The sequence below is a fragment of the Homo sapiens genome, chromosome 2 (assembly GCF_000001405.40).
Source record: "Homo sapiens chromosome 2, GRCh38.p14 Primary Assembly".
In the NCBI taxonomy this organism is placed as follows: domain Eukaryota; kingdom Metazoa; phylum Chordata; class Mammalia; order Primates; family Hominidae; genus Homo; species Homo sapiens.
Window position 1 is genome coordinate 60,790,658 of NC_000002.12, and position 27,500 is coordinate 60,818,157.

Below are 27,500 nucleotides of genomic sequence, written 5' to 3' on the forward strand. Positions count from 1 at the left end.
TCAACTGTACAATAAGGATGTATTTGTAAGATGGTTCCTGAAGTCTGTCATTCTATGATTGGTGTGGTAGCTGCAGTAGTAAATTCTCATGGAGGAGGAGGATAGCTTGAATTGCACCTTGGATATTTGGCCTAAGAATTAGCTTAGAAGGCCAGGTGCAGTGGTTCACACCTGTAATCCCAGCACTTTGGGAGGCCAAGGTGGGTGGATCACTTGAGGTCAGGAGTTCAAGACCAGCCTGGCCAACATAATGAAACCCTGTCTCTACAAAAAATCCAAAAAGTAGCTGGGCATGGTGCCATGCGCTTCTAGTCCCAGCTACTGGGGAGGCTGAGGCAGGAGAATAGCTTGAACCCCGGAGGCAGAGGTTGCAATGAGTTAAGATTGTGCCACTGCACTCAAGCCTGGATGACAGAGCGAGAGTCTGTGTCAAAAAAAAAAAAGAATTAGCTTAGACCTGGGCAAGTAGTTATGAGGAGAGATTGCCTTTGGGGAAAATATCAGAAAATAAGATCTGGAAAATACCGTTTTTTAAATATATTTATTCTATCAACAAGGTTTGATTATGAGAAAGTCTTAGAAAGTGGACATGGAAAAACTATTGGATTCATGGCTGGGCACGGTGGCTTACGCCTATAATCCCACCACTTTGGGAGGCCGAGGTGGGCGGATCACCTGAAGTCAGGAGTTCTAGACCAGCCTGACCAACATGGAGAAACCCAGTCTCTACGAAAAATCAAAAAAGTTAGCTGGACGTGGTGGCGCATGCCTGTAATCCCAGCTACTCGGGAGGCTGAGGCAGGAGAATGGCTTGAACCCAGGAGGTGGAGGTTGTGGTGAGCTGAGATTGCGCCATTGCACTCCAGCCTGGGCAGCAAGAGTGAAACTCCATCTCAAAAAAAGAAAAACTAGTGGATTCATGAATAGGATTGTGATGTGATGGAAGTGTATTAAAAATATTTGTTTTGTGAGAGGGTTGTGGGTGGGTGGGTGGCCGGTGGTGATAGTGGGGAGATAGTAAAAGTATATGCATTTCAGAAAAATTAGGCAGAACCCTTGGTTCAGAAAGAAGTTTCCCATTTAACATATTAACATTGTTACAGTGTACAGACAGGCAAACAATATAAATATGCTAAAGGAGGGAATGAAAATTGAAGCAACTCATGTAAAGAAAAAACAACTTCACCACTACCTTCCTGCAGAAATTCTTCAAAAGAAGAAAAAGGTGAGTTTATAATCTTAACCCTTCAGTATGGTTTTACTCAGACAAATGATCTGGGACCAAATTTGCATTCTACAGCTCCCAAACCTATTGAGAAAAATAAGGAAGATATAGGCAGTTCAATCTAGGACTAAAATCTCATTTTCATTAATCACAAGAGATAATTTGCTTAAGTGACCTTCAGAATTGAAACCAGTCTTTATATTGTCATTTGCATTTTGAAATCCTAAAATCGTTCCCTTCTTTCAGCAAAGTCTCTCTGATGTCAATCGAAGCTCGGGCGGACTTCAATCCAAAAGATTGTCTCTGGATAGCAGTTGTCTGGATAGCTCCAGAGACACTGATAATGGAACACCTTTTAATTCTCCAGCGTCCAAGTCTGATAGCCCTTCTGTAGGAGAAACAGAAAGGTCTGTCTTTATTTCAAATGTGTCCTTTTGGTTTTCTGTTCAGTTTATTTGAGGATAATGTGAACTTTTCTATACCTCTGCTACTGCCTTTTAAAATTGTTAAAAGATTTCATTTTACTGGCTGCTGGTCAATTTCTTGCTTAGAAATAACTCGTGGTAATCCTGTGGGAAACGGTATAGGCTTATGAGCATATGGGACTAGATAGGTACACAGAAATGTACACATTTGTTGCTTAAATTTTTCTCTTCTTACTGGGTCCTCTGCATTTTTCCCCCTTTTAGTTCAATGAAATGTTAAAGTACAGGCCTGAGCCAACAGTTGTGGCCAGGCACGGTGGCTCAGGCCTGTAATCCTAGCACTTTGAGAGGTCACGGCAGGCGAACTGCTGGAGCCCAGGAGTTCCAAGACCAGCCTGGGTAACATGGCAAAACCCTGTCTATACAAAAAAATACAAAAATTAATTGGCCGGGCACAGTTGCTCACGCCTGTAATCCCAACACTTTGGGAGGCCAAGGCGGGCAGATCACCTGAGGTCAGGAGTTCGAGACCAGCCTGGCCAACATGGCAAAACCACATCTCTACTAAAAATGCAAAAATTAACAGGGTGTGGTGGCATGTGCCTGTATTCCCAGCTACTTGGGAGGCTGAGGCAGGAGAATCGCTTGAACCCAGGAGGTGGAGGTTGCAGTGAGCTGAGATCGTGCCATTGCACTCCAGCCTAGGCAACAAGAGCGAGACTCTGTCTCAAAAAAACAAAAACAAAAATTAGCTCGGCATGGTAGTGCACACCTGTAGTCCCAGCTACCTGGGAGGCCAAGGTGGGAGAATAGCTTGAGCCCGGAAGGTTGAGGCTGCAGTGATCCATGTGTTCATGCCACTGCACTCTAGCCTAGGTGACAGAACAATACCATGTCTAAAAAAAAAAAAAAAAAAAAAAAAAGCAGTGGTAAATGTTACAACAAGAGTGTTTTAAATAACTAATGGGGCCAGGCGTGGTGGGTCACATCTATAATTTCAGCACTTTGGGAGGCTGAGGCAGGAGGATTGCTTGAGCCTCAGGAGTTCAAGACCAGCCTGGGCAACATAGTGAGATCCTGTCTCCACAAAAATAAAAATTTAAAAAATTAACCCGATATGATGGCACACACCTATGTTCTTAGCTACCTGGGAGGCTGAGGTGGCAAAGTTACTTGAGTCCAGGAGGTTGAGGCTGCAGTGAGCTGTGATTGTGCCACTGCACTCCAACTTGGGCAGTAGAATGAGGCCTTTTCTCAAAAAAGGAGAAAAAAAGTAATATTTAAATCATTTATTGATGATAATTTAACACTTTCATTAGGAATAGTGCTGAGCCTGCTGCTGTAATTGTGGAGAAGCCACTGAGTGTACCACCAGCCCAAGGACTTTCCATTCCAGTGATTGGCGCAAGTAGGTATCTAAACTTGTATATATTAATAATTATATTTACAAAAAATTAGCTAGGCATGGTGGCACACGCCTGTAGTCCTAGCTACTGGGGAGGCTAAGGTGGGAGGGTCACCTGAGCCTGGGAAGTCAAGGCTGCAGTGAGCTGTGATCAAGCCACTGCACTGCAGCCTGGGTGATGGGAATGAGAGACCCTGTCTCAAGGAAAAAAAAATTACATAAATGTTTAATTATTAAAATCCTTTTTTTCCTTTTCAGAAGTTGACTCTACAGTAAAAACTGTATCACCCCCCACTGTGTGTACCATTCCTACCGTAGTAGGACGAAATGTCATTCCTAGAATCACAACACCTCACAACCCTGCCCAGGGACAACCGCATCTGAATGGAATGTCAAATATAACTAAGACTGTTACACCTAAGAGATCCCATTCCCCATCCATAGATGGGACTCCTAAGAGGTTGAAAGACGTAGAAAAGGTAAAGTTACAACTTTAGTGGTAATTCAGTAGTTGATATTTTTTATAGTTAATACTAAAGAAACAATTTTCCATAGCTGTTGGTGTTCTGTTAGGAGTTGGCTGAAAAGAATATTTACCCAAATCTTAAAGAAACAATATTAATTGCTCATCCTAAATTGAAATTACTAATACGTCTGAAAATTTGAATGATTGGTCTGAGTTTCTCCTTGATTTACAGAAGTCATTACTGATAACAAAATCTCATTTCTTGTGTGTTGATATGCCCTGCTTCCAGTAGGTGGTGGTAAAACTATATTTGTTAGAATCTGAATTGATTTAACCAAAAAGATCACCCAAACTGTAGAAATTAACGGTGGCAGTTGAATTCAATCTAATTTAAATTATCTTCTCTTACCAATCCATGTTTATAGTAATTTTTATAATAGTGTAACCAATAACTAGTTTTCCAGTTTATATAGATTTATATGGGTTTTTGTAGGTACATAATAGCAATCTATTTCAATGTTTATATTTTAGTTTATTCGACTTGAATCAACATTTAAGGACCCCCGCACTGCTGAAGAAAGAAAAAGAAAATCAGTGGTAAATATATTAATAGTGTGCTTCAGAATATTTATTGTAAAGCGCCATGTATCAGGAAAAGTGCCATATTAGAAAGTAGGTCAGATTAGATTTATTTTCAGGTTTTCGTTAGGTTTTATTTTAAGTAGAAATAAGTGTTTGCATATAGGAAAGTTAGTTTTCACTTGTGTTGATTCTTCTGTTTTTAGGATGCCATTGGAGGAGAATCTATGCCTATTCCAACTATTGATACATCACGCAAAAAGGTAACAAGATAGTCTTGTTCATAGGTACAGTACATAGGTAAAAACTCATAGGTAATCTACAAGTACAAAAGGCTTATTAAGAGCCTAGCACTGGGAAAAAGTAAGATTTTGTCCCTGTCCCCAAGGACTAGCAGTGTAGTTGGGGTTGGAGATAGCAAGTATATAGTTCTGAATGTATGTACCTCAAAAGTCTAAAAAAGAGGCAGTAGTTTAAGACAACTTTATTATCTATTTAGATTATGTTCACCCTTTGTTTTTTATCTTTAAAGAAGCAGTTGGATGCTCAGCACATTAATTTCTTACCAAGCACCTGGAGGTATATCTCTGTTGTGTACTATTGCTTACTGCCAAAACATAGGTTTGATAATTAGGAACCATATGTATTAATATTTTAGAGGAACCAAATGTAGTGGTATATATAGTAAGTACCTTTAAAACATGAGCTAAACGCCCCTAAATTGTAATTTAAATGTTTATTATTTGAAGAATTACTTTTATAACTAAAAATGTGTGTAGTATTAAGTGTGGTATGCTAAAAAGCAAGTACTCAAAAACCAGCCTTGTGTAAATAGAGAAAAACCTTCTCTGAGAGTTTATAATGAACAGAATGGCTTATTTATAATAATGATAAATAATTATAAATATATATGATGATAATTATAAATTATAATTTATAATAAAACAGAATGGCCATTAAATAGTAAAGTGCTTTTCATCAACTGTTACCCTGCCAGGTTCTCCAGGATGTAGTAGCTATTCTAAAGCAAAATAGTATACTCACAGGCTATTAGTTGTAGATTTTGAGCCTTTAACATAAGATTAAGTTACAAAAAATATGAACGTATAATTATGTGTCATGGTGGAAGAAAAAATTTTGAGATGGATATTGAAGTACAAAAGAGTGAAATGACATATCTGGATTTTTTAATATATCCAGTCTAAAGGGAAAGTGGGTACACCAAACAATTGCAGCAAAATTGTAATAATGTCTGAAACTTGGTTTTGGCATTTAAGTCCTTATTGCCCTGGTGTCTACTTCTTTGTATATCTGAAATTGCTCATAATTGTTTTAATGCATATGGATATGATACAGATACTGGCTTAGCCAAGGTAAAACAAGAGGAGAATTAAGCAGTCATCTCTTGACAAGAAACTATCCCCATTACAGAAGTCTAGATTTTGCCTTCCTTTTTTTTTTTTTTTTTTTTTTTTTTGGACATGGAGGCTCGCTCTGTAGCCCAGGTTGGAGTGCAATGGCGCGATCTTTTTGTATTTGTAGTGGCTAATTTTTGTATTTGTAGTGGAAAAGGGTTTCACCATATTGGCCAGGCTGCTCTTGAACTCCTGACCTCAAGTGATTCGCCCGCCTTGGCCTCCCAAAGTTCTGGGATTACAGGCGTGAACCACCATGCCCGGCCCTAGATTTTGCCTTCTTTATGTAATAATCTTTAATGCCCTCAGAATCCCTCAAACCGATGTCCCTGAATTTCATAACCATCAAAGTTATCTAGCCTAAGTACAAAGTTCAGTTTTCCTGAGAACTTAAGTATCTCACAGATTGAGTCAGTGGTCTTCTTCATGAATGTATTACAGAAACAAATTGAGGGACATAACTCTCAGATATTAAATTTTTCTCTACTGCACACACTCATTTTTCACTTCACACCCCAAGAGCTTCCTGTTTAGTCACCATGAACTTCCTTTTTTTTTTCTTTGCTTGACCTTAAGGACTGTGTTCTTTATGCATTTCTTGATCCAGGCATGGCAGTTCCTCTTTTCCTGTACATATTCACACTCCTGCCACTTCTACCCTTTCTCTTATCCCTCTGCTTTTCACCTCTGACTGTAAAAAGAAGTAGCAGTTCCGAAAGCAAGAGTTCCCTATGAACACGGAAGGAAATATTCATTGCATACTTGAGTGTTTAGGAGCTAGAGGGTTTGGGAGAAAAACTCCCCAAGTTTTGTGACTGACTTTCTAGCTGGGCCTTTATAATATATATGATGTGCTTTTCCTTTTTTGTTTCCTCTTTCTTTCTAATAGAGACTACCCAGTAAAGAACTACCAGATTCATCATCTCCAGTTCCAGCAAACAACATCCGTGTCATCAAAAATTCCATTCGACTGACCCTTAATCGGTAAAAGCAGTGCCTCCTCACTTAAGTGAACAAGCAATCATTTAGTGGCATAGATGCAGCCACTTGTTTTTTAAATAGAAGTGGCTGTCATACGTGAAATAAGGTGAAAGTGACAGCCTTCAGTCTAATAACCTTGAAGTGGTTTTTGAACTGTCAAACTTTGACCTGTAGATGCTGTAGCATTCTCTCACTGATTGCTACATACACTTCTCTGAGGATCACCTGCTGTCAAATTGCCATCTACAGTATTACAGCTTTGCATTTGGGGGTTTTACTGCCTTAACTTTCAATGCTTGTTATGGGAACCAGTTCTTAGCCACTTGGACACTGATAACAAGTCCTGAACTCCTTTTTTGTTTTGTTTTTTGTGTTTTTCTTTTTTTGTCTTATGTTGTAATCATTGTATAGAGCTAAAAAAATTGAAAACAAACAAAAAAATTGTCTTGTATTTTCCAAATGTTAATACATTTACTTTAGCATTGAAGCCACTTTGAAACCTGAGATAAATGAATGTGAGGTATCTTTTCTGCTTTCCTCATTTGTGTAGATGTACTGTCTGTTCTGTTGATTTAAATTATTTTTTTCCAGATTGGCACATGAAATATTTAAACTTTTTTGTGTGCCTTTCTGTCCAAATGTTGCATAGTTACCAGGGAAGATTAGTCCAGTGATTACATAAGAGTTGGGCACCATAAATTCTCTATATTTTGCCTCCCATGGAGGCCTTTGAAATGCATCTTTATTAAAAATCAAAATATAACCAGGATACTGAAAGTCAGTATATGAATGGTAAAATTGTTACATATCCTATTTCATGCCATTCTTGTTAGTTGACTGGTATTTTTTACTGAGGAGCAACTCATTCCAGCATCAACAATAAGATAACCTTTAAGTATGGCACACTTGTATTTTTGAGGTGTAAAATTAACTTGGCATGATAATTCCTGATCATTATTTACCCCACAACTTCAAATAGTTTCTTCACGGACTAGGCATGCAGAAATAAGCAGTGGATTTTATTGAAACCTAAAGGCATTTTGAATGACATTGTTACCAACCATTAATTGGCTCAGGACCTTTGTAATTTTTATTTAACTATATGAGTTGTCTTTTTTTACGCTGCTTTTTTCAATGCATTTCTTAATATTTTTTAAGTTTCATGAATGCATGCTCAGTTTATTAAAATCCATAACCATGTAATTCTTGTAATATGTTGATTCAGTGTTTTGTAAATGAAGTCGTATGTATTTTCAGAGTATTTTTGTATGTACTGTAAGATACCATCTTTTCAAAGAGAAACGTTTAAAACCTTTATTGTCTCTCCTTAGTCTAATTTTTTAAATATGGATTATGCTTGAATTACTATATTTAAAATGAAAATGTATAGATTACACAGCCAGGAATGCTAGTATCTACCACCTTCTTTAGATTTCACTCAGCATTTAGTAGGTCCAGTAGGAAAAACCCAAAATGGTACATTGAGTAGTGTGGGGAAGACACCTCGTGTATTATAGGACTCACGGGATGCCATCTAGCAAGTGGAGAAATAGCAGTCCATTTTCTCTTGCAAGCCCTTTACCATTGAGTTGAAATTCTTGAATTGCCAGAGAGCCGTATCCTCCAGGTCCCACTCCTGTTCATTGCCCCTTAGGTCTCCAAAATGTAAATTCTAATGTTTACCTTGTACCATGGAAAACATGAAAAGAGTCTTAGAAGTAAAGAACAACAAGGAAAAAAATGTTTGTTCTATTATTCCCTTTTTATATAGCAGCAAAAGATAAGAATAAAATCACATAACCAAGTTGAAGCTTCCTTGGCAAAGCTGTTGTCTTAGCTGACTCTTTCCCTTTATTCAGATGTTTTGGGATTGTTCTACAAATAGTCTATTTGAGCAAAAATGAATGATTATGAAAGAACCGAAGAATTATCACCTGACTTCAACTTTTGAAAGCTTTAGTAAGGAATTTGATTAAATTTTATATACTGGATGTGTATGCATTTCTGCATTTCATATCTTTTGCTTTTAAATCAGCCTTCAAAGTATCTTTAGGAATTCCTTCTGTATCCATGTTTACCCCATTATGTAAATAGATCTTTGGAGTGACTAGTGGAGTTTTTCTTTAATAAGGAAGCAACAAGTCTAACCTTGTACTATAGGATAGGCATTTATTTTAGATTAAGGAGCCCATTCAACATGTCAATGAGTCAACATTAGAGTCCTCAAAGATAGCATTCTTCAACCTGTTTGGTAACTGAGGAGTTGATAAAATACTTTTGAGATGGTGGGGTTTGTCAGAAATAAAATATTTTCTATCCTGACCAGTAGGTAGAACTTTGAGTACATTTCGTTAACTTGGTGGGAAGCTTCCATTGTACTAGTTCCAAGTAAAAAAGGAGAAAGTATGATCTGGGATTTTGTGTTATGATGAGAGGCACTAAGTACATGTGTTTGTTTTGTTTTGTTTTGTTTTGTTTTGTTTTGTTTGAGACAGAGTTTTGCTCTTGTTGCCCAGGCTGGAGTGCAGTAGCCCAATCTCGGCTCACTGCAACCTTCACCTCCCGAGTTCAAGCTATTCTCTTGCCTCAGCCTCCCAAGTAGCTGGGATTACAGGCACCCACCACCTCGCCCAGCTAATTTTTGTATTTTTAGTACAGACAGCGTTTCACCATGTTGGCCAGGCTGGTCTCGAACTTGTGACCTCAGGTGATCCACCTGCCTCGGCGTCCCAAAGTGCTGGGATTACAGGCGTGAACCACCGCACCCGGCCGTGTTTGTTTTCAAGTGTGAAAAAATACCTAGAAGTATATTTTATGAAGTCAAATAATCTGTTCTTCAGTATATAGACACATGTTCATTTTCACAAGGGCATTACATTTTAATTTGCTCATTTTTCAGTAGCTCTGGAGAATATGTATGAAAGGAAAACAATTACCTGCTAGCTTAAACCTTAGGGACTTAACCAATTCAAGATAGAGGTACATGGCTTAAAACTTTGTAAAACTGGGACAGGAGAATTATTATTTTTTTATTTTTTATTTTTTTATGAAGACAAGAGTTTCACTCTGTCACCCAGTCTGGAGCACAGTGGCATGATCTCACCTCACTGCAACCTCTGCCTCCCGGGTTCAAGTGATTCTCTTGCCTCAGCCTCCCAAGTAGCTGGAATTACAGGCCTGTGCCATGCCCAGCTAATTTTCGTATTTTCAGTAGAAATGGGATTTCACCATGTTGGCCAGGGTGGTCTTGAACTCCTCACCTCAAGTGATCTGGCTGCTTCGGCCACCCTAAGTGCTGGGATTACAGGCATAAGCTACTGTGCCCAGCCAGGAGAATGAATTTTAAAAATCTATGTTAGTGTTTAAAATGAGTGCTTTGTTTTAAAGCAGCAATTTAGTAGCATTATTAAAATGCTTACTTCACTATAGTAGCAATTAGGTAAAGATGGGCAATATCAAAATGGGCTAAACTTATTTTCCACTATGTTCCACACCTTTGAAATAGGAATTCCTAACTTGAGAATCATGAACCCTTAGGGAATCCTTTATAATTGTGTATAAGAAGTTCTAGTTTACATGCATTTTTCTTGGGGAAAGTGCATAGTTTAGATCAGCTTCTCGAAGTGGCAAAAGTATGGGAGTTAGGGTTAGGAACCACCAGGATTGAATAATCCTGGAATATTATATAATTTTCTACTTTTGATTTTGCTGTGGTATATTTCTGAAAATGTGCTGTGGCTCCTAACTAGTAAAATGGGCTGGTGAGGGACTCTGGAATTCTGAATTTCTAAGTTTATAACCTAAAATGAAACTGTAAAGTCCTCGGTATTTAGAAAAATGCTTAATCTCAGATTTACAGATGGCCTCATGATAACTTAGATTCGTTAACAGGGTCAAACTTTAGTTCAACAAATTTCAACCCAATATTATCACAGTACAATAGCTTAGAATGATCATTAGAAATGGTAGAAAATAGAATAAATCATTAAAGATCCCAAAATGTTGAGTTCTGTAGCATGAAAACTCTCTTGCTCCTCCATGTTTGTAGTTCAGGCCAGAACAAACTAAACAGACCAATAAATATAAAAGTGATAGTTTAGGGAAAAAAAAAAACTTTGTATAAATAAAATTGTATGTGTGTTCAAATAACTACCTATTAAATCATCCAAAGCTTAGAATTTAAATTGGTCATAGTAGCAAATAGTGCAGATGATGGAAGAAAACCAGTCTCAATAATGGTTTTTTTTTTCCAATTGCATAAGGTCACGTCATCCCCCAAATTGTCTATTTTTTCTTTTCTTTTTTTTTAAGATGGAGTCTCGCTCCGTCACCCAGGCTGGAATGCAGTGGCGCAATCTTGGCTCATTGCAACCTCCACCTCCCAGGTGCAAGCGATTCTCCTACCTCAGCCTCCCAAGTAGCTGGGACTACAGGCGCCCGCCACCATGTGGGCCTGGCTAATTTTTGTAGAGATGGGGTTTCAACATGTTGGCCAGGCTGGTCTCAAACTCCTGACCTCCAGTGATGCACCCGCCTCGGCCTCCCAAAGTTCTGGGATTACAGGCGTGAGCCACCGTGCCCAGCCCCTATTTTTTCTGAAATAATTTTTCGGATATACTTTTATATTTGAAATTAGTTGAACATAAGATGATCATCAAGCTTGCTATAAGTTTTAAGCTATTGCTACATTTGAACAAAGACCCACGTACTTATCTTAGAAAGTACTTAGGATATCTTTGAGATTAATGGTGCTACATCACTCTACAGTACTATGTAAAATGAATGGAGCTGCTGTTCCTTTCTAGCTAGCTGTTTGTGTAGTTCATATTAATTTACCCTGCCTTTTATTTGGATTGTCTGATTTCTTAGTTGTACACATGAACCTCATTATTTGCCTGGAATAAGTAATCAAATAAAATTGCTTTGATAAATAGGTGATGATTGAGTGATGTTATTTGGGACTAACTCAAAAGTACCAGAAGTCTTAACTTTTCAGTGACAACCAATTTTGTCATTTACCACTCAGACTCTTTTTGGTAGATAATGGTATCTACTACCCACTTAGTATGAATGCAAAGCTCAGACCTAATGTGCATCACACAGAATCATTTATTAAACGTTTATCAGCAAGCGGTGGCACAACAGTTTATACAGTCTGCTCTATAACCTTAATGGAGTGTCCCAGCTTTCTGTCCCTTTTGGTGGTCTGACCACCCTTTCATGAAAAGGCCACTTGAGGTGTCTATGTCAAGCACTAGGGGCAAAATTCTGTCACCCTTCTGATCAGGATCAGGCAATCAGTCCTCCGTACTAATAATGGCTGGACACAGGATCAAGCTGTGGGTACTATGCATACAAGTACAGGTTACAGGGCTCGTTACATTCTTAAACCTCTTGTAAGAATGGACAGTGACTGGTTTTTAGCCAATCCATGTGCTAGTGCTGAATTCACAAATAAGAGCTTGTGTCTGCGTCGTTAGTATTACTAGCAAGCTGTTCATGTCACCAATGGAAACACATTTGACATTTATTAAGCTAATTGGCAAAGTCTGCATTGATTGAGCTATGGATAACAAGGGCTTCTAGTAGTCACTTTTGAAGTGTGGGCTTCTCGATTGGATTGCTAGGTGGCCATCTCTGGAGTGTAAATTTCTGGTTGGGGCAACTCACTGCTCCTAGGACATAACATACTAACACAATTACCATGCTGTGATAAAATGTTTTCTAAAGTCAATTAACATCATAACAGGTTCTTCGTGGATCCAAATGTGTTACAGTACTAAGGACAAAAATAAAACGTATTGGGGTCGGGTGCAGTGGCTCACACCTGTAATCCTAGCACGCTGGGAGGCTGAGGCAGGTGGATCATTTGAGGTCAGGAGTTCAAGACCAGCCTGGCCAAGATGGTGAAGTCCCGTCTCTACTAAAAATACAAAAATTAGCCAGGTGGTAGTGGCATGCACCTGTAATCCCAGCTACTCAGGAGGCTGAGGCAGAATTGCTTGAGCCTGTGAGGCAGAGTTGCTGTGAGCCGAGATCATGCCACTGCACTCCCGCCTGGGCAACAGAGTGAGATCCTGTCTCAAAAAATAAAGAAAAATATATTGGGCCAGGCATGGTGGCTCACTCCTGTAATCCCAGCACTTTGGGAGGCTGAGGCGGGTGGATGGCCTGAGGTCAGGAGTTCAAGATCAGCCTGGCCAACATGGTGAAACTCCGTCTCTACTAAAAATACAAAAATTAGCCAGGTGGTAGTGGCATGCACCTGTAATCCCTGCTACTTGAGAGGCTGAGACAGGAGAATCACTTGAACCCGGGAGGCAGAGGCTGCAGTGAGCCAAGATCGCACAACTGCACTCCAGCCTGGGGGAGACAGAGTGAGACTCCATCTCAAAAAATAAAAATAAAATAATGTACTGCTTTTTAATCCCCTATCCTAAAAACCATCTTTCAAACCATATGATCCAACCAAACTGTTTTAATGGATAGTGTTTAAAAATATATACTTCAGGGCCTTCCTTGCCAATCTTTGATTATTGACATTTTTGGCTTACTGCTGCATAGAGACTTCCATGATACCCTAGCCAGACTCTTACCTTTTCAGTATGTTACTTGTACGTTTGAACGTTTAAATTATTCTGACTTGTGTAATGCTCAGTTTACCTGTTTCCCCTGACAAGATTGTAGGTTTGAGAATAGTGACCTCCGGCCAAGCACAGTGGCTCATGCCCGTAATCCCAGCACTTTGGGAGACCAAGGAAGGAGGATCGCTTGAAGCCAGGAGCTGAAGACCAGCCTGGCCAACATAGTGTCTCTACAAATAAAATTAGCCCAGTGTGGTGGTGCTCACCTGTAGTCCCAGCTACTCAAGAGGCTGAGGTGGACAGACTGCTGGAGCCCAGCAGGTCAAGGCCGCAGTGAGCTATGATCACGCCACTCCACTCCACCCTGGGTGATAGAGTGAGATTCCATGTCTTAAAAAAAAAAAAAAAAAAAAAAAAGAAAGTGAGCTTTATCCAAAAATCTTTATGTAGTGAATACCCAGAAAATATTTAAGAGGAAAACACATGAGTCCTTGTTTGGTTTGAGGGGTAGGATTGTTTTGTTTTTAAATTTAAATAGGATTATCTTAAAGAGAAGCCCAATGAAGGAACTAAGATGCAAGAAGGCAAACAAAACTTCCTGAGGCCATTAAGACACGTTGTCTGTGCCGGGCACAGTGGCTCACACCTGTAATCCCAGCACTGTGGGAGGCTGAGGCAGGCAGGTGCCCAGGCTGTTCCTACCAAGGGGCACCTGCAGGCCCACGTGGAGCCACCGTCAGTACCCCCTTGGCCCCCATCCTGTGCTCCTCGGTGCCCAAAGTCCGGAGGGGCTTAGGCAGCAGGGGGCTGGTGTGTCGGCGCCACTCCGGGCGCACACACACCTGGCCGGGTCGTGACAGCACCCAAGCTCGGCTCCAACTTTGCTCTACCCTGGAGTGGGAGCCGGGAGCAGGGAAAGGCCAAGCAGCGGGAGCAGGCACTTCCGAGCCTGTCGGGGAAGAGGGGCTTCCCAGGTCCCTAAAAGCTAGGGATGCCTGGGTCCGCAGTCGTGACTGGGTGGCTGCAGCTGCACCCAGGAACATCAGGCTCCTGCCCTTCCAATTCAGAAGTGGGCAGGGGTCCCGCCTGTTCCAGGCTCCTGCTGGCTCCATGGCACACGCAGCCCTGGCCGCACCTTCCCTGCTGCAGCCGCTCCAGGTGGGCCACTGCTGCCATCAGTGGCTTGGCTGTGAATGGTCACATAGTCTTTACAAGTAGAGAATAGAGAATATTGAACTAGCCAAAAATTGTAACTATATTCGGAAGAATCGGGGAGGGAGGTAGGACAGGGTGTGAGAGTGAAATCCTCATCTTCAGTGGCAGTGAGTAGTAAATATCTAAGACAAAAATCTAGGATAATATATGCAAGTTATTTAGAAATTTGTAAGTAATCAGTAGGAGAAAAGTCTTAAAATTATGAAAATGTTTGCCTCTAGGGAGCAGATATCAAGAATGAGAAATAGGAAAGTAGATTTTTTTTTTTTTTTTTTTTTTTTTGAGACAGAGTCTCGGTCTGTTGCCCAGGCTGGAGTGCACTGGCACAATCTCAGCTCACTATAACCTCTGTTTCCCAGGTTCAAGTGATTCTCCTGTCTCAGCCTCCTGAGTAGCTGGAATTACAGGCATGTGCCACCATGCCCAACTAATTTTTGTATTTTTAATAGAGACAGAGTTTCGCCATGTTGGCCAGGCTGGTCTCGAACTCCTGACCTCAGGAGATCTGCCCGCCTCGGCCTCCCAAAGTGCCAGGATTACAGACGTGAGCTGCCGCGCCCAGCTGAACTTTTTGACTTTTAAACTAATATATCCACTGTCTAACCAGTAGGGGGTAGGAGAATGTTGCAGACTTTGAAGCCCACAGACCTACGTAGATACCTCAGCTACATCTCTTACCACCTGTGAGACCTTGGACAAATTGCTTAACCTTTGGGTTCAAGGTTACTAATCTGTAAAGTGGAATCTCAACACTTATTTCATATGACAAAAAATGAAGGGTTTAAGAGGCTCTGTAGTTCAATGGCCTAGCCTCAGTTGCCAGCTCTAGCACTTACTTATTGACTATAAGAAATGGTGGAAGTTAATGCCTCAGTCCCTCAGTTTTCTCTTCTGAAAAAGTGGTGACGATCATAACAGACTCTACACCCAAAAAGCTGCTAAATGGATTAAAAGAGGCAATCCAAAAGTTCCTAGTATAAAGTGGAGTTCAAGAGTTTTTTTGTGGCATGATGAGTTACATGAAATAGCATATGTCATACACTATGCATCGTGCTTGACCCACAGTGAGCGTCCCTTCTCCTAAAAATACATCACAAGAATCGGGGAAGAAGGCCAGTGTCTGTCTCTCCAGCCAGACTGAGGAATAGATCTCCACCTCCTGTGCAATAGTGTGAAAATACATGGCCTTTGCCCTGTTACCAAGCCCTTCTCCAAGTATACCTCTCAAAACAGTTTTATTCAGAGAAATGTGTAGAACTCATTGAATTCTTACAAAGTTTCCCTGAAGGCCTGGCTCAGTGGTTCATGCCTGTAATCTCAACACTTTGGGAGGTTAAGGCGAGAGGATCACTTGAAGCCAGGAGTTCAAGACCAGCCTGGGCAACACAGTGAGACTCCTGTCTCTACAAAAGAAAACATCAGCCAAGCATGGTGGTATGTGCCTGTAGTCCCAGCTACTTGGGAGGTTGAGGAAGGAGGTTTGCTTGAGCCCAAGAGTTGAAGGTTACAGTGAGCTATGATTGTGCCACCACATTCCAGCCTAGGCAACTAAGTGAGATCCTGTCTCTGGCAAAAAAAGAAAAGAAAAAAGTTTTTCACTGAGTACTTTAGTTCACTTAAAGATTATAATAGGGCCAGGCATGGTGGCTCATACCTGTAATCCTAGCACTTCGGGAGGCCAAGGCAGATGGATCACTTGATCCCAGGAGTTCAAGGCCAACCCGCGCAACATAGGAAGACCCTGTCTCAACAAATAATTAAAAAATTAGCCGGGCATGGTGTCACATGCCTGTGGTCCCAGCTGCTCGGGAGGCTGAGGGAGGAGAATCATCTGAGCCTGGGAGGTTGAGGCTGCAGTGAGCGGTGATCACACCACTGCATTCCATCCCGGGTGACAGTGAGACCTTGTCTCAAAAAAACAAACAACAAAAGATTATAACATTAAACTGAGATGAAAAAGCTTATCAGGCTCATCTCTGCCAGCCCAGGACTCCCAGAATGCCTGGCAAAGTGCAGCACCAATGTGTAATAGATGTTCTATAGCAGAAACAGCCATCCTAATTTCAGCTCTGACTAGATCTAGAAAATGGGCCACACATGGAGAGATGGCCACAGGAATGATCTAAAGCCACGCCCACACACAGATGCAACTGTATCTCATTACTCCCACCTCTCCTGGGAGTGAGACAAAACTGTCTAACCCAGATCCCAAGTCACTTCCTGCCAGGGCTTCTCAGCAGTTCAAAGAACTTCTATGTGCAGGTTCTTTCCAAATAGATTGGTTTCTTGAAACTCACAAGAAGTCAAACACCAGAAAAGAGGGGATTTCTGAAAGCCACCCACTAGGATGGCAACTGGTACTTGGTAGTTTCAAATATTAAGAAAAGAAAAAAAATTGGCGTTGATTAGGCAGTATCTAATCTCCCTAAGCACAGGAAGTGAAGGCGATTGAGTCTGATTTGCAGGAGGCCCCGAGGTTGCACAAAGCAGTCACTCCCCTAGCATGGCCCACTCACTGCCTGCTGAGAAGCCTGCTTTGCCTGCCTCCAGCTGAGCACACCAGAGGGAAAGCACCATTAAATTCCCTGTGCACTCTTCAACCAATTAGCTGCACCAAGGTCACCAGGTGAAGGGCGTGGGGAAGCAGAGAAGAAAAGATGCTATGGGCTTGACAAGGTTAAATTGATGGGGCCCGTGGGACATGGCTATTCATTCCATAAATGTTTATCGAGCCCCTAGCATCCACCTGGCATTGAGCTAGCTAGGCACCCAGAGCATAAACAAGATTTAAACCTGTCCCTACACTGAAGGACCTCTCAGACTGGTAGAAAGTTAGCTGACAAATATCTAGGTTATGCTGTGCTGTTGGGAGCACTGCAGAGGGACCCCTTAATTCTGCCTTGGTCAGGGATGGTGTTGGGGAACAACAACCCCAGAGCTGAATGTTGTAGGCCAATTAAGAGTTTTCCAGGTGAAAGCTGGGGGAGGTGGAAGGCTGGAAAGGTTCTGGAAATTGGATGTTGTAGTAGGGCTGTGTGAAAGGAGCATTAGTTGCATTTGGGGAAAAGGTATGAGGCTGGAATGTAGACAGAGTCCTGCTTCCCATGGACAAGAGAGGGAGAGGAAAAGACAGAGGCATGGAGATGGTAAGGATAAGGAGGCTCCTGCAGTATGGGGAGAAGAAACTAAAGTAACATAAAGGAATACGTTCCAAACTTTGGAGGTAGAAAGGATGGGGTCGCTGACAAACTGTATTCAGGGAAGAGTGGAGGAGGGTGCCCACCTTCCTTGGACTGGAAGGCTGACTGTATTGTCATTAATCAACTCTGAGATACCAGGGGAGGGCTGCGGGAGAGGGTACCTGAATTTAGATTTGGGGGTGTTGAACTGGAGCTAGCCTCATGGCCATCCACGTGGAGATGTACGGTAGACCATGGGAAGTATTGGTCTGGAGCCCTAGAGAGAGGCCTTGGCTGGATGTCCAGGCTTCACAGCGTGACAGACTCATCTTTATGGATATTTGTTAAGCGGGAATCTCGGTTCCTACCTCCCCAGACCTGCTGCAGGAACTCCGGGCCGCTCTGGGCTTTGCCCTGACAAGCAGGAGGGGTGGCTTACCCGATTGGTCAGCTTGGGGAGGGAACTAAGCATGTGCGGCCACACCCTGTGGCTCCTCCCTTTTACGTTTTTCCCGCCCTGCGCAGTGGCTCTGCTGTGTCTGCGGGTGGCCTTGACTGTGAAGAGCCCGTGCTTGGAGCACACTCAAAGCCGCTGTCTTCAATGAGCTGTATTAGTAATAAGGCAAATGTTTTGGACTCCGTCTGTGTCCTAAACTCACAAGGGAGAAAAGAGAGTGTCGTGTATTGAATCCCACTGGCAGGCTCCCAACAGTATTAATTTGTGTGGGTTGGTTTGTTTTTTGGAACAGAGGCTCATTCTCTTGCCCAGACTGGAGTGCAGTGGTGTGATCCCGGCTCACTGCAGTGTTGACCTCCTGGGCTCAAGCGATCCTTCTGCCTCAGCCTCCCAAGTAGCTGAGACTATGCCCAGCTTTAAAAAAAATTTTTTTTGGAGAATTGTGGTCTCCCTATGTTGCCCAGGCTGGTCTCAAACTCCTGGCCTCAAGTGATCCTCCCACCTCAGCCTCCCTAAGTGTTGGGATCACAGGTGTGAGCCACCGTGCCAGGCTAATTTGTGTTTTGTTTGCTGTTTTTCCCTTCTCTGCATTCCAAGCTGGTGGCCAGGCCTAGTTCCTTTCCTGAGATGTTTTTGCAGGGTAAAGAACAGATACTGGTTGTCTTTGTTTGGTGTTCGTGGGGTGGGGACTTTGAGAGTTGCAAGAGGAGAGAGAAGAGAGTCACCCTGGGATTGGGAGAGAGGAAATAGCAGGTTACAGCAGACTGGGGTCTGGGTGCTGCTCCATGTCAGGTCACTGGTGGAGGTGACAAGTCCTAAAGGGGGTGGTTTGATCTGTGTAGTTAGGAAGGCTGGACCCCAGGCCTGGGAGCATTCACTTTGCCAAAGGTTCCTCTGCTCTAAGCAGCAAGGCTATTAAACCTCAAGGGACAATGCAGTCAGACCAGGAAGCACCTCAGCAGTGATTAGCATGAGCCGAAGACCAGTGCCTTTGCCTAGCAAGACTTCCCAGGAGGAGCCGACTTTGGCACACCCCTGGGTAGAATGTGGGACATTCAGCAATTACTGAGATTAATTTCCTGTCAGCTCAGTAGAAGGCGGCTCAATATCAGATTGAAGTTGATTTAAACAAAGTCAGGAAGTGTGTCATGGCCAGGTGCAGTGGCTCACGCCTGTAATCGCAGCACTTTGGGGACCGAGGTGAGTGGATCACCTGAGGTCAGGAGTTCGAGACCAGCCTGGCCAACATGGTGAAACCCCGTCTCTACTAAAAATACAAAAATTAGCCAAGCGTGGTGGTGGGCGCCTATAATCCCAGCTACTCGGGAGCCTGAGACAGGAGAATCACTTGAACCTGGGAGGCAGAGGTTGCAGTGAACCGAGATGGTGCCACTGCACTCCAGCCTAGGTAGACTGAGCAAGACTCTGTCTAAAAAAACAAAAACAAAACAAACAAAAAAACCCCAAAAAAACCTGTGTTACTTCTTTCACATGTGAGTTGGAAGACTAAAATTCACAGCAGCAATAGTAATCAGAACATAGAGGTGCTGGAAGTACGGGAGGTGGGGAGTCAGAGGGAGTGAATCCAAGGAGTGTGGGCAAAGCCTGGACAATCTCAGATTTAGGGGTAAGTGAAGATAGAGGAGGCCAAAAAGGTGAAGTCAGCAAGACAGGAGAAGCTGAAGAGGAGGGTTAATGGCATTCAGTGCTGCGGAGGACAACTAAGACTTGGATTAAAAGGTATGTATGTGATTTGGCATTTGGAGGTCACTGATGACCTTAGCAGAGCAGTGCTGTGGAGGTGGAAGTGATTGCAGAGAAGAAAGGTCACATTCTCAAGAAGAGTTGCAGGGGAAAGAAGGAGAGACTACTGGTCATAGATCAAGGTGGAGGGAAGGTTTATTTTTAACTTGGGAGATTTATGGACATGGCTTAAGGTTGAGGGGAAGAAGGCAATGGAACAATGGTGGATACTCTATAGAGCCAGAGCCAGAAGACAGGGACATTTGCACATATTGAGGAACTGGCCCTGGAGGCAAGTAGAAACATGGAAAGAAGAGGAGAAGTTGTGGTAGGCAGCTTCTAAGATGGCCCCCAACGATCTGTGCCTCCTGGTGTTCATGCTTTGGTGTAACCCCTCCCCTTGAGGGGGCACTACACTTATTGACCCACGTCTAGCACATAAAATACTATTCACATAGCTGGGTGTGGTGGTGTACACCTTTAATCCCAGCATTTTGGGAGGCCGAGGCAGGCAGCTCATTTTAGGTCAGGAGTTCGAGACCACCCTGGCCAACATAGTGAAACCCTGTCTCGGCCAGGCATGGTGGCTCATGCTTGTAATCCCAGCACTTTGGGAGGCCGAGGCAGGCAGATCACCTCAGGTCAGGAGTTCGAGACCAGCCTGACCAATATGGAGAAACCCCGTCTCTACTGAAAATGCAAAATTAGCCGGGTGTGGTGGCGCATGCCTGTAATCCCAGCTATGCGGGGGGCTGAAGCAGGAGAATCACTTGAACCTGGGAGGCAGAGGTTGCGGTGAGCTGAGATTGTGCCATTGCACTCCGACAAGGGCAACAAAACGAAACTCCGTCTCAAAAAAAAAGAAAGAAAGAAAAAAGAAACTCTGTCTCTACTAAAAATACAAAAATTAGCCAGGCGTGGTGGTGCATGCCTGTAGTCCCAGCTCCTCGAAAGGCTGAGGCATGAGAATCCCTTGAACCTGGGAGGCAGAGGTTGCAGTGAACTGAGATCGTGCGACTGCACTCCAGCCTGGGTGACAGAGAGACTCTGCCTCAAAAAAAAAAAAAAAAGGATACTGTACAAGTGATGGGATGTCACTTCTGATATATTAGGTTATAAAAAGCATGTGGCTTTCATCTTCGGCACTGTATTGAAAAACAAACTTTTTCCTCTGCTGTCATATCACAGTAATCAGCACAGAAGACTTCTGTGAGCAAATGTGTGGAGATATCTCCCCACCAGCAAGCGAGCAGTCAGTTCTGCAGTGGACACCAGCTGGATGTCTTCTAATTCAGTTTTGTTCTGACACTGACACCATCTACCTGGAGATAGCATCAGATCCCACAAGTTGAGGGCTCAGTCCCACAAGACTGCCCCCACTTCAGACACCAGTCGCAAGTCTAGGCCTCCGTAACTTCAGACTGACCAGCTTCAAGTTGGGGTTCCCACGATGCCCTCTGTAGGCATGATTCATTTGCTGGAGTGGCTCATGAAACTCTGGGAAACACTTACGTTTACTGATTTATTATTTTATTTATTTATTTATTTTAAAATTTATTTATTTATTTTAAGACTTGCTCAGGCTGGAGTGCAGCGGCGCTATCTTGGCTCACTGCAACCTCTGCCTCCGGGGTTCAAGGAATTATCCTGCCTCATCCACCCTAGTAGCAGAGATTACATGCACCTGCCACCACACCCGGCTAATTTTTGTGTTTTTAGTAGAGACAGAGTTTCGCCAGGCTGATCTCAAATTCCTGGCCTCAAGTGATCCACCTGCCTCAGACTCCCACAGTGCTGGGATTACAGGCATGAGCCACCACGCCTGGCCTCTTTAATGAGTTTTTATTCACCTTCCTGGAAGCCTCCATGAGTTCAGCTGTTCAGAAGATTGACATGCCCCGTCTTCCTGGGCCTGGAGACTTCATTGGATAGGCATGACTGAAGCCTGGACAACTATGTAGAAATGTGATTGGACCGAAAGGGTATAATCTAATAAGAATAGGCTGAGTGAGGAAATTCAGCAAGGCCCATCGGTTTAGATTCTTCTTGGCCCTCTGTGCAGCATTCCTTTCTCCTGGGTATGGGGCACGACCCCTTCTAAAATGGGGGTCTTATAACCTACAATCAGACAAAGTAGGCCAGAGAATTTATTTATGACCAGTACCAAGGCAGAAAGGTGGGGGAAGATTATACTTTTAGTTCCTATGGCCTGCCTTGGGGAGAAAAAAAGATCAGGTGAAAGGGGCGCAGGAGAAGGTCAGAGAAAGAGATTCTGCTTCCTGAGGCCTAAAGTGCCCCAACATTATAACAAAACACTGTCTTTCACCTTTATCATTCTGAAGCTACTTTAGGAACCAAGGACAAAGGGACAAATACTTTAACAAAAGATATGCTTATTGTTTTAGTCACTTAACTTAGGAGTCACATAACTCCTAAGAAGGACTATAGGAGTTATCAGCCAGGAACTGTGGACAAAAATACACACATATATGTAATATGTTATATATATCATAATATCACAGGCACTCTGTCTTGTTCTCTCTTGGATTGCTCGCCCTGGGGGAAGTCAGCTGTCATATTGTTTTAAGTCAACCCTATGTAAAGCTGCATGAACGACCTTAGGAGCCTTCAGCCCGTCAAGCCTGGAGGTGACTGCAGCTCCAGCCAATAGCTTGATTGCAATCTTATGAGAGACTCCGAAGGAGAGATACTCAACTAAACCAAAACCAGAGTCTATAGACTATAAGATAATAAATGTTTATTGTTCTAAGACATTCAGTTTTGGAGTAATTTATTACACAGCAATAGACAGCTAATAAGTAGACAAGTGGCCAGGCACAGTGGCTCACGCCTGGCAGGTGGATTACTTGGGCACCAGAGTTCCAGACCAGGCTGGGCAACATGGTGAAACCCTGTCTCTACAAAAAATAAATACAAAAATTAGCCAGGCATGGTGATGTGCACCTGTAGTCCCAGCTACTCAGGAGGCTGAGGTGGGAGGATCAATTGAGCCCAGGAGGTGGAAGCTATCTCTAGAATGGAGACAGCTGCAGGAGCAACACATTTTGGGGTGGAATCAGGAGTTTCTCTGTGATATGTGAAGTCCTGAGAGGCTTATGAGAGAGGCCATACGCATTTGGGAATTGTGTCCAGAATTCAGCATGGGAGTCATCTATGCAGGAGATAGAATCTAGGAGCCATCAGCGTATTCATGGAATTTAGTCTTGAGACTGGATCAGACCCTCAGGAGGAGCAGAGACACACAAGTCATGGCCAAGTGTCTGACCCTTTGAGGCTTAGTTGTCAAAGCTATAGGAGATCTACCTTCCGTGGTTGTTGTGAGTGGTGGCATAAAGAAGCGCCTCATTCCAGTGAGCCATGTTCATGTACTGCACTCCAGCCTGGGTGACAGAGCGAGACCCTGTCTCAAAGATAAAATAAAATAAAGTACACAAGTTTGCATGCAGGGAAGGCAAACATTTGAAGGAGCATGAGCCCAAAAGCCTTCCATTTTCTTTGCTGAGAACAAGTTAAGAAGAGGAACAAAGGTTTGGCATGGCCACCATGAAAATGGAAAATTAAGCTGGGTAAGGATGCATAAAAGAATGGAACAGTACTCCTAAGGACCCAGTTGAGACTAGGGGCAACAAAGTTAAAGCTCCTGCCATATGCAGTTGAAGGATTGTTGTCCAACCACCTCGACATCCTGAAATAAAAGAAGAGAGAGAAGCTATTGAAATGATCCAGGACTCAAAGTTTATAAGATGATGGGTCAAAAGCCAAAGAGGCAAACAGTTGAGGATGCTGGCAAGAGATGGGCCACAGCGATAGAACCACAGGACGGGAATAGAGGAGGTTAGCTCCTGGATGGCTGGGCAGAAAATGGCAGTCTCGTCTAAACTAATGAGTTAATGTGCTGGGCTTAAGAGTGAGAGGAGCCAAAAGATTTTAGGGGAGGAATTCTGGGAACTAGACAACTCGGGGTGTACCCGTGGGTGATGCTTGCTAACATGGAGTGGCCCCCTGTCAACTCCTCCAGTCTAGCTCAAGCCAGTCTGAGTCCCCTCTACCCTATCACCACAAACACCCTGCTTTAGCCATAAAGGATTTCTCTGGTCTGTTCTCGTCACATCTGCCTGTGCTGCCCTCCCTTCCACTCCCACCCCATCTGCTCTTCATCTTTCCCCAACACATTCCTTTTCAACTCTCAAGCTCAAGCTCATGTTCTGCTTCCTTGATGAGTCCCACAAATGTCCCCAGTCTGAATTAATGTCTCCCCAGCCCCAGTCCAGTGTTGCACCTGCACAGCCTTGCTGTTGGCCGTACATTCTCAGGAAGGCGATGGGGTTTTCTGTTTTCTCCATTGGAAGGTGCATCCCTGAGGAGTGGAAAGTGTGGGCCAGGATCCTCAGGTAGCTGATGTTCTAGCAGAGCAGCTTTTTCTCAGTTGGTGCTCAGTGTTGAGCTGGATCAAGTAGTTAAATAATAAGGCTGAGGATTAGCCTTCACTTCTAATAAGGGTACAGAAAAAAAAAGAAAGAAGACTGAAGACACTAAGATCCAAAGGGAGCTAAGCCGACAATAGTGCCATTCTGAGACCAAAAAAAAAAAAAAAAAATTCAGTGGGAGAGAGCTACCCACTGAGCACTGGGTCCATTCTGCATCGGCTGTTCACTCACAACCACCATGCAAGGTAGATATCCTATAGCTTTGACAATAAGCCTCAAAGGGTTAGACACTTGTCTGTAACTCGTGTGTCTCTGCATCTCCTGAGGGTCTGATCCCGTCTTAAGAATAAATTCCATGATATGCTGATGGCTCCCAGATTCCTGCACAGTCTCCTGCGCAGACTGCTCCCATGTTGAATTCTGGACACAATTCCCAACTGCCTAGGAGGTCTCTCTCACAGGCCTCTCAGACTTCACACATCATACAGAAACTCCTGATTCCAACCCCAAATGTGTTGCTTCCACAGCTGTCTCCATCCTAGTAAATGGCAGCTCCACTCCAGAACCAGCTAGAACCAAGAAACCTCAGCTCCTCTCTCTCACACACCCACAGCCAGCCATACTCGGGGCACTTGCTGCCAGCTCTGATATTGAAGCATGTCTACCTTCAACCACTTGCGCCCCTGCTTCCAGCACCTGGTTGGAAGCCACCATCACCTCTTACCTGGATTCTTGCATTAAGCTCCTTGCTCCTCTCCCTGCATCCACGAGTGTCCCCCTTCAGCCAATTCTCAACACAGCAGCAGAGGGAGTCTTTTCTTTTTCTTTTTTTTTGTTATTTATTTTAATTTTTGAAATAGATATGGGGTCTTGCAATAGTTGCCTGGGCTGGTCTCAAACTCCCGGGCTCAAGCAATCCTCCCCCTCGGACTCCCAAAGTGCTGGGATTACAGGTGTGAGCCACCATGTCTCAGCGGGGATTCTTTTTTTGTTTGTTTGTTTGTTTGTTTTTGGGATGGAATCTCGCTCTGTTGCCAGGCTAGAGTGTAGTGGCACGATCTCGGCTCACTGCAACCTCCACCTCCGGGGTTCAAGCAATTCTCCTGCCTCAGCCTCTCTAGTAGCTGGGACTACAGGGGTGCGCCACCACACCCAGCTAATTTTCGTGTTTTTGGTAGTGACGGGTTTTCACCATGTTGGCCAGGATGGTCTCGATCTCTCGATCTCATGATCCACCTGCCTTGGCCTCCCAAAGTGCTGGGATTACAGGCGTGAACCACTGTGCCCAGCCTGGGATTCTTTTTTAATGTAAATCTTATCATTTCACTCTTCTGGTTAAAACCAACTGGTAGTGTCCCATCTGAGTCAAAGTGCAAATCCTGACCGTGGACCACCAGGCTCTGCATGGTACAGTCCCGTGTCAGTCACTACTCTGATTCTTTAAATAGCTTTATTGGCCAGGCGCAGTGGCTCACACCTGTAATCCTAGCACTTTAGGAGGCCGAGGCAGGCAGATCACTTGAAGTCAGGAATTCAAAAGCAGCCTGGCCAACATGGTGATAACCCGTCTCTACTAAAAATACAAAAAAAATTTAGCCGGGCATGGTGGCAGGTGCCTGTAATCACAGCTACTCAGGAGGCTGAGGCAGGAGAAGCTCTTAAACCTGGGAGGCAAAGGTTGCAGTGAGCTGAGATCGCACCATTGCACTCCAGCCTGGGCGACAGAGCGAGACTCCATTAAAAAAAAAAAAAAAACCCACACACAATAAATAGCTTTATTAAGATACAATTCACACACCACACAGTTCACTCATTTAAAGCGTACATTGAAAAAACCATTGTATAACTTTCCATATATTCACAGAGCTGTGCAGCTGTTGTCATCTCAGTGCCTTTCAGGTTATTTTCATTATTTCAAGAAGAAACTTGCACCCCAAAGTCACCTCTCCCCATTGTGCCTACTCCTGTAGCCCTAAGCAACTTGCTTTCTGTGCCTATAGATTTGCCCATTCTGGATATTTCATATAAACCTCTCTGATTTTATCTACTTCTGAAACCCTGTTCTCTACCCATTTTCTCTTCCTCCTTGCGTGCCTTGTACACCCCCAGCACACCTTCTTCCCAGGGTCTTTGCACAGTTTCCCCCAACCCCCAATCCAGCTTCCCTGATCTCTCCATGGCCACACCTCTCAGGGAAGCCTTTCCTGAGTTCCCTCCTCCCCCCTGGCCCCGCCCCCACATGCCCCACTTAATTTTTTAAGTGTAATAAGTATATATTATCACATGGCACTAATCATCATGTATTCCATGTTTCTCTTTTAATCATCTGTGTCCTCCTGTCACTCATGGAACATCAGCCCCAGAGGCAGGGCTTTTACCTCTTTTATTCCCTGCTGTACCCTCAGTGCCTTGAACAGCACCTGAAATAGAGAGATACTCCATAAATATTGTCAAATGAATGGCAGGAATGGGATGTGAACACAAGTCTGTCAGACTTCAAAACCTGTGTCCCTAACTATCATACTTAAAGATCGTAGAGAATGCAAACGATTTAAACTCGTGGCAGTGGCTGGGTGCGGTGGTTCACACCTGTAATCCCAGCACTTTGGGAGGCCAAGATGGGCGGGTCACCTGAGGTCAGGAGTTTGAGACCAGCCTGGCCAACATGGTGAAACCTGTCTTGACTAAAAATGCAAAAAATTAGCCGGGCGTGGTGGTTCATGTCTGTAATCCCAGCTACTCTGGAGGCTGAGGCAGGAGAATCACTTGAACCTGGAGGCAGAGGTTGCGGCGAGCCTAGATCACACCACTGCACTCCAGCCTGGGAAACAGAGTGAGACTGTCAAAACAAACAAACAAACAAACAAACACACTTGGTAAAAGTAAGAAAGGTCTAAAGCCTATGCCCAGTGTGGTGGATGCTGGGCTGCAGTAGAGGTGTTGATAATGCCAGCTCCCAGGAGTGTTGGCAGCTGGAGCTTGCAGCTGCATCTTTTCCAGGGTTTGCCCTGGGCTGAGGAGAAGCTGCCTCACTCAAGGCCATTACTACTTTCTAGAGCAGGGGCTGTATCCCATGGTCAATACAAGGGTAGCAACCTGCCCTATGCTCCAATTTCAAAGGGCCATCCTTGCTCCAGAGCTCCTTGTGGCATTGGTGGAAGCCATTGTTTCCACAGCATTAAAGTTCAGCTTCTTCCTCTATTCATCTGGCTTCCTGCTCTCCCCACACAGGTGTTAATCTTGACAGCATTCCCCAATAAACTTTCTGTGCACAAACTGCCGTCGTGGAAACTGTTTCCTGGATAATGCAACCCGTGATGCTCAGAATAATTCATTCGATGGCTTCCCAAGGAGGTTGAAGGATCTATGGGTAGGTGG

The 27,500-nt window shown here is 43.6% G+C and overlaps 1 protein-coding gene across 4 annotated transcripts in view, besides 1 other annotated feature; it reads left to right on the top strand.

The window, feature by feature from the left end:
* Positions 1-11,429, top strand: part of PAPOLG (poly(A) polymerase gamma) — a 45,819-nt gene extending 34,390 nt beyond the window's left edge. For 2 of the 4 annotated variants that reach the window (NM_022894.4, XM_005264501.3), the window contains exons 16-22: positions 1,104-1,225; positions 1,472-1,632; positions 2,970-3,058; positions 3,314-3,534; positions 4,053-4,118; positions 4,307-4,363; positions 6,405-11,429. In NM_022894.4, coding sequence (NP_075045.2) covers positions 1,104-1,225; positions 1,472-1,632; positions 2,970-3,058; positions 3,314-3,534; positions 4,053-4,118; positions 4,307-4,363; positions 6,405-6,503 — 815 coding nt within the window. In that variant the 3' untranslated portion in view covers positions 6,504-11,429. Of the gene's footprint in view, positions 1-1,103; positions 1,226-1,471; positions 1,633-2,969; positions 3,059-3,313; positions 3,535-4,052; positions 4,119-4,306; positions 4,364-6,404 lie in introns of those variants that run through there. The other 2 variants (XM_005264500.5, XR_007080681.1) reach the window with 2 other exon arrangements.
* Positions 16,598-16,697: an enhancer, noted in NCBI's record as "active region_15818". NCBI's record gives its function as "activates an Ori minimal core promoter by ATAC-STARR-seq in GM12878 lymphoblastoid cells {active_cell/tissue: GM12878}" and the evidence as "EXISTENCE:reporter gene assay evidence [ECO:0000049][PMID:35858748]".